This window comes from Homo sapiens, chromosome 18 (genome assembly GCF_000001405.40).
Source record: "Homo sapiens chromosome 18, GRCh38.p14 Primary Assembly".
In the NCBI taxonomy this organism is placed as follows: Eukaryota; Metazoa; Chordata; class Mammalia; order Primates; family Hominidae; genus Homo; species Homo sapiens.
The window spans coordinates 78,718,510-78,724,509 of NC_000018.10; the positions used below are offsets into that span (position 1 = coordinate 78,718,510).

The following is a 6,000-nucleotide window of genomic DNA, read 5'->3' on the forward strand; positions in this document are numbered from 1 at the left end:
CACACCATGTTGCACTACACGGGAAAAGATGGGTATAACAAAGTGATGTCCAAGGAACAAAGATGACACCATGTAGAATAAAAATGGATCTATGCAGAGCAAGACAATGTCTGTGCAGAGCACTGTGTGTCCAACAACGAGGATATTCCTATCAGAGCAAAGCTGTGTCCCTGTAGAGAAAGGATATGTTCATGCAGATCAAGGCTGTGCCCGTGGAGATCAAGGCTGGACCCGTGGAGATCAAGGCTGGGCCCACATAGATCAAGGCTGGGCCCATGGAGATCAAGGCTGGGCCCGTGGAGATCAAGGCTGGGCCCGTGGAGATCAAGGCTGTGTCCGTGGAGATCAAGGCTGGGCCCGTGGAGATCAAGGCTGGGCCCACGTAGATCAAGGCTGGGCCCATGGAGATCAAGGCTGGGCCCATGGAGATCAAGGCTGGGCCCATGGAGATCAAGGCTGGGCCCACGTAGATCAAGGCTGTGTCCATGGAGATCAAGGCAGGGCCCATGGAGATCAAGGCTGGGCCCGTGGAGATCAAGGCTGGGCCCACGTAGATCAAGGCTGGGCCCGTGGAGATCAAGGCTGTGTCCATGTAGAACAAGATTTTGTCCACGTAGAGCCAGGATGTTCTCATGTAGAAGAAGGGTATATTCACAGAGCGCAGATACGTCTATGTTGAGCAAGGGTTTTTCTGGGATTCGAGCTCTGCTTTTCTAAGGCCTGTGTCTATCCTGCCATGAGGACTTTCACATCAACCTCCTTGAGCCGGGCCCTTGAACGGTCAATGTGTGGGACATGGATATGTTTTCCAGGGCTGCAACATCAGAGTATCACAGACTTGATGGCTTAACATGGAATGTATTTTCCTGTCATGTTGGAGGTTGCGTATCTGAGCTCTGGGTGTTAGCAGGGTTGGCATTTGGCCGCTGAGGAGGAGAAAGTATTTTACATGATGGGGTTCAGGGCTCACTGCCCCAAAATATGGCACTTTACATATGGCATTTAAGAATGGGGCAGAAGCAGGAAGGTCACTCCCCAACCTTCTCCTCCTCTTCCACAGAAGCAGGTCATAAAACCTAGCAGGTACTTTCTGGCCTTTCCCTGAAGCGAATTATAAGATCCTCCTGACCTAATGGCCTCCACTGCACTGCCAGGGAAGACACATCCTTAGCTTGGAAGATGTGGGGACAGAGAGATGCACCTGCACACACAGGCTTTGCTGCATCCCCGCTCCATGACCATGTGATCACACCTGTCTGGGGCCATGCACTTCCTCATCTAAGCCAGCCTGACAACACCCAGGCTCCCCCAGTTCTTTGTGTCTTCATTCCGTTATGAAGGCCTCCATGTCATTAAAACGTATTAATTAAATTCCAGGTTTTTCTCCTGTTAACCTGTCTTTGTCTGATTTTCAGACCCAGGTGGGAACCCTAGACAATCCGGGACAGCCTTTTCCCTCAGTGGCTCCCGACGCCTGCACAGGCGCCTTGCTCCGCCTGCAAGCGGCAGTTCAGCAATTCGGGAACCTCTGACAAAGGCCGGCAGCGGGAGAGTTCTCACCACATCAACCCCTCATGTCTCTCTCTGTGGGGCTCATTCAAGGAAAAGGGGTAAGAGTCTTTTTTTTTTTTAAGTTTTCAGACCCAGCCAAGACCCCTAAAATGGCTGAGGAAAACCTTCCCTCCCTACACAGGCCTCTCCCCAGCATCTGGTGGCCACTGGTGATCATTGCCCTTCCTTGGCACGTAGAAGCAGCACCTCGATTCCACCTTCAGGAGTCGTGTTCTCCCCGCATGCACATCCATCCTGGCTCCAACTTACCTCTTTCTATAAGGACGCCAGTCATACTGGATTAGGGCCCACCCTAATGATGTCATCTCAATTTGATCATCTGCAAAGTCCCTATTTCAGATAAGGCCTGTCAACCTAAACACAGAGAGAGAGGCTCTCTAAGAGGAGAGATGTTGGACTGAGAGCCGAGCGTGGCCGTGGCACCTACACGCCACAGCAGACTCTGCACGCTTGGGGAGGAAGGGAAGACCAAGGCTTGAGGGAAACCATCGAAGGATGAGGCCATTGTTTGAAATGATTCTCCTCAGCTGCAAGGATGGATAAGGGTGTCGCTGATCTGAGGCTGGCCAGGCCGTGCTGGGCCGACGTCCTTGCCGACTGCTTCTTGTACCAGGCTGCGGGTTTTGTACTGTTTTTCATGACGAGGCCCACAAGCACGAGGACCATCTCCTCATGGCGTTCCCCGCTCTGTTCAGCAGTTTTCTTAACATTTGTGACTGCGCTGTGGCTCTGTCAACATTCACAGCTCACATTCTCGGACACTGGGTGTAGGACTTGGTCACAGGAATCTTAGGGGACAAGCAAAGCCCAGGCTGGAGGGACGCGGAAGGAGGAGCAGGGCAGAGTCGGGGGAGCCCTGGCAGAGGCGCCGGGAAGCCGGTGTTGGACGGGGAAGGGCCCCACGCAGGCTGCTCTCCTCCTGGCAGGGATCCCTGGGCCTGGGAGGACTCCTCCTGTCCGCCTCTCACGTCCAGCTCTTTTCCTTAAAAGGATGCAGGCATAATCCTGGTGAGGCGGCCCACGCCCAGCACTGCCTGTGGGGGCAACAAGCTCCAGTGAGGGGGTGAAACCCACCGCAGAGACCACAAGCCCCAAACTTAACACCAGATGCCTGCCCTAAGCACGGCCACCACGTGGGCCCCAGACTATAGCAGGGGCATTTACATCTTGACAGGACTTTGCTACTTATGACATTCTAGTGCCAAAAGTGCAGAGAGCCTGTGAGAGAAGGGGCCGTCCTGGAGGAGCTGTGGAAGCCACTCCTTGTCTGTAGCTCCCCCTGTTCCTGGGGAGGGGGGGAGGGCTTCATCCCTTGCATTCCTTCCTGTGCTGGGGTCGGCTGGATGCAGCCTGGGGGCTTCAGAAGGGGAAGGGAGAGGGAGGGAGACTGCCCCTGGGCCCAGCCTGGCGTCCTTGGTCCCTGCCAGAGCTCACCAGGGGTCCGTGGTGGGGCCGCCCGACCACACATTCATCCGTTTACAGGGAGACCCCATCTAACCCTCTGCAGTAAGACTGAAAGAAGAGGAGGGCAGAAAGCCGTGTCCTGACAGGGAGATTCTGAAGGGACGGACCTCCTGCCCTGAAGCAGCTTCAGAAACAGACATGGAGAAGGTGGCAAGGCCCTTGGAGAAGATCCCCGGGTCCCTCACAGAACTCAGGACTAAACCGGGGGCTAGGAGGCCTCACATCTCGGCCCACTCCGCGGCAGCCCCGCGCCAGCCAGGAAGACGTTATCCGTCCATCGCCGGAGACTGTTCGTGTATTAGCAATTCACTGTCAAACGCTCAAGAGTTTGCCAAAGCATAATAGATGCTTTACATTTTATGCATAACTAGTTCTGAGACCAGGGCTATAAAAGTTTTCTATTAACATGTAAGCACTAAGACAAGTTTTTTTTCACTTGATAAATATACATAACTCCTTGACAATGAGGCCCTTGTGTTGCTAATGGGGCCCTTAATGGAGAGTTATATTTCCAGGATTATATCTTTATTCAGTTGCAAATGATTTTTGGGGGGAGTTTTAATGCTCTGCTCCGTCTATGAATAATAGTATCGTTTGAATGCAGCGGACACCTGGTGCCGGAGGACAGTGGGGCTCTGCAGTGACCTGGCGACGCTGCCAAGTTCGCATTTTCCCAGCCTTTCCTACCCGCTCCATTCAGCATCTAATTTCATTCTCCCTCAGCAGAATGCTAGACACTTGTAACTTTATTCTCCCTCCGCAAAAACTTGCTCTCTTGTAAGGAAAAAATCCTGGAAGAAAAAAATTTCTCTTATCAATCTCTTCTTATATAGAGTCTAGTAATTTGAAGGCTGGCTAAAGTTTCAGGAAAAACCTTCCAATTAAATACTGTAAAAAGATAAAATAACAGTGGCCTTGCTGCTGCCCAATAGCTTTATTGAAGCGCTCTTTTGTTGATTTATTGTACGTTAGCCACCGAGCCGTGCAAAGAACATTACGTTTCAGAAAGAGCTATTCGTATGCGGCCTGCATCCACTCCAAAAACAATCAGGCCTGTATTGCGTTTTGCAAATTTATACCAGGATGTTGGTTTAGAGTGTTTCCCTGAAAAGTTTTTCAAGTAAGTGTCTGCTTTCATGGGCGAGAGTGATTGAGGCACACAAACAAACCTTTGTTTCAAAACTCACAGATGTATGGCCGGGCTGAGCTTTGTTTTCCCCTTTAAGAAGTATTCTCAGATTTGTGTTTGGAGCACAACACAGGATTGTACAAAAAAAAAAAAATCAGCTTGAGGATGAATGTCTCGTATAATCTGAGGCTTTTCCAGATTTTCCCAGGGTTAATTTTTCTACCCTGAACTTTGCGTGTTGGGTAGGTTAGGGTTTTTTTTTTTTTCTTTAATTTATTTATTTGTTTGTTCGTTTGTTTTTGTTTTTAAATTCAGGCATGCCATGAAAAAGAATCCTGCCTACTTCAGCTTTGAATGTGGCTTCAGGAAACTTCATTTCAAAGCTATTAGGGAGTTTGCAAGCTCCATAAATATACTTTTGTTCAAGTTGCAATCTGCCCTTCTCTCTCGCGGGCGCCCGAGCATCGTGCTGGGACATCCGGCAGCCCCAGGCTGCGCGACGTGGAGCCAAGAGGACAGCCACCTGGGTCGGGGCTGAAGGAAATCCTAAGTGACAAAATATTTAGACTTCAAGGCAGGCATCTTCGGGGGCACAAACACAACTCTTCCTCCAAATAGCAGAGGAGATGTTCTTAAGCTCCACATAGCCACGTGTTCAAACAAAAGATATTTGACCATAAGTGAGGCTCAGGAATTATTAGTTAAAAGAAGAACCACATAGAGACAAAATCCATAGAGCCAAAGGTGCAAAAGCCGGCTCTGAGCACCCCTTGGCTCAGGAGGGTACGTGTGTCTGATGCCCAGGACCGAGCGAGGGTGATGCAGCCACCAGCCAGCCCGAGCCTCAAGTCTGGAGCCGTGTACACACAGAAGGGCATTCTTAGAAGGTCAAGTTAACAGGACAAGCCTTGCACAAGCAAAGATGTGTGTTCGTCAACCCCAGAGTGTGGGAAACTGTAAATCATAGCTGTGCTTGGTTCCAGGGATCAGCTCTTACCATGGGATTCTCACTTTGAAAGAAAAAAATGACATCCCTCAAATCTAGTGAGAAAGTAATCTGTCACTGCGCGGAGTCAGGGAAGGTAGGGGGGCGAGGGGGTAGGTGGGTTAGTAGTACTTGAGCTTCGTTGAGTTATCATTGCTTTAGGGTTAGTTACAGTTTATGATTTATTGCGCACTACGTCCTTTTTATATTGTAAACCAAAAAGTATCTGAGACAAGCCTCAGTCAATTTAGAAAGTTTATTTTGCCCATGACACAGCCTCAGGAGGTGGCTGACATGTGGCCAAGGTGGTTGGGGCACAGCTTTTGCTTTTATACATTTTTGGGAGACACGAGACCTCAATCAATACATGTAAGATTTACTTTGGTTCCATCCGGAAGGGCGGACAACTCGAAGCGGGGTGCTTCCAGATCACAGGTAGACTTAAAAATGCTCAGATTGGCAATTGGTTGAAAGAGTTACTGTCTATAGAAAGGAATGTCTGGGTTAAGGTAAGGGGTTGTGCAGACCCGGGTTTTATCATGCAAGTGGCAGGCTTCGGAGAGAAGAGACTGTGACTGTTTCTCATCAGACTTAAGGTCTGTGTTGATGTTACTGCTGGAGGGTACAATGAGGCATGTCCACCCCCTCTTCCTGGCCTGAACTAGTCTTTCAGGTTAAATTTTAGGGTGCCCTGGCCGAGGAGGAAGTCCATTCAAATGGTTGCAGGCAGGGGGCCGGGGGGGCTTTGACTTTTATTTGGTTTACGGTATCATTTATGAAACTATTTTTATTTTATTTAACTATTACATTTAACTCTCATAACAACTTTGCTAATAAGATTATTAATCCC

The 6,000-nt window shown here is 49.8% G+C and overlaps 5 annotated features.

Annotated features, from left to right (window-relative positions):
• Positions 1,917–2,837: an enhancer, noted in NCBI's record as "H3K4me1 hESC enhancer chr18:76480426-76481346 (GRCh37/hg19 assembly coordinates)". NCBI's record gives its function as "activates a minimal SCP1, AML or CMV promoter by ChIP-STARR-seq in primed H9 embryonic stem cells {active_cell/tissue: H9 hESC(primed)}" and the evidence as "EXISTENCE:reporter gene assay evidence [ECO:0000049][PMID:30033119]".
• Positions 3,213–4,748: an enhancer, noted in NCBI's record as "VISTA enhancer hs1056". NCBI's record gives its function as "enhancer in: neural tube[5/8] | midbrain (mesencephalon)[5/8] | forebrain[7/8]" and the evidence as "EXISTENCE:transgenic organism evidence [ECO:0001131][PMID:17130149]".
• Positions 3,213–5,297: a biological region, named in NCBI's record as "VISTA enhancer hs1056".
• Positions 4,103–4,700: an enhancer, noted in NCBI's record as "H3K4me1 hESC enhancer chr18:76482612-76483209 (GRCh37/hg19 assembly coordinates)". NCBI's record gives its function as "activates a minimal SCP1, AML or CMV promoter by ChIP-STARR-seq in primed H9 embryonic stem cells {active_cell/tissue: H9 hESC(primed)}" and the evidence as "EXISTENCE:reporter gene assay evidence [ECO:0000049][PMID:30033119]".
• Positions 4,701–5,297: an enhancer, noted in NCBI's record as "H3K4me1 hESC enhancer chr18:76483210-76483806 (GRCh37/hg19 assembly coordinates)". NCBI's record gives its function as "activates a minimal SCP1, AML or CMV promoter by ChIP-STARR-seq in primed H9 embryonic stem cells {active_cell/tissue: H9 hESC(primed)}" and the evidence as "EXISTENCE:reporter gene assay evidence [ECO:0000049][PMID:30033119]".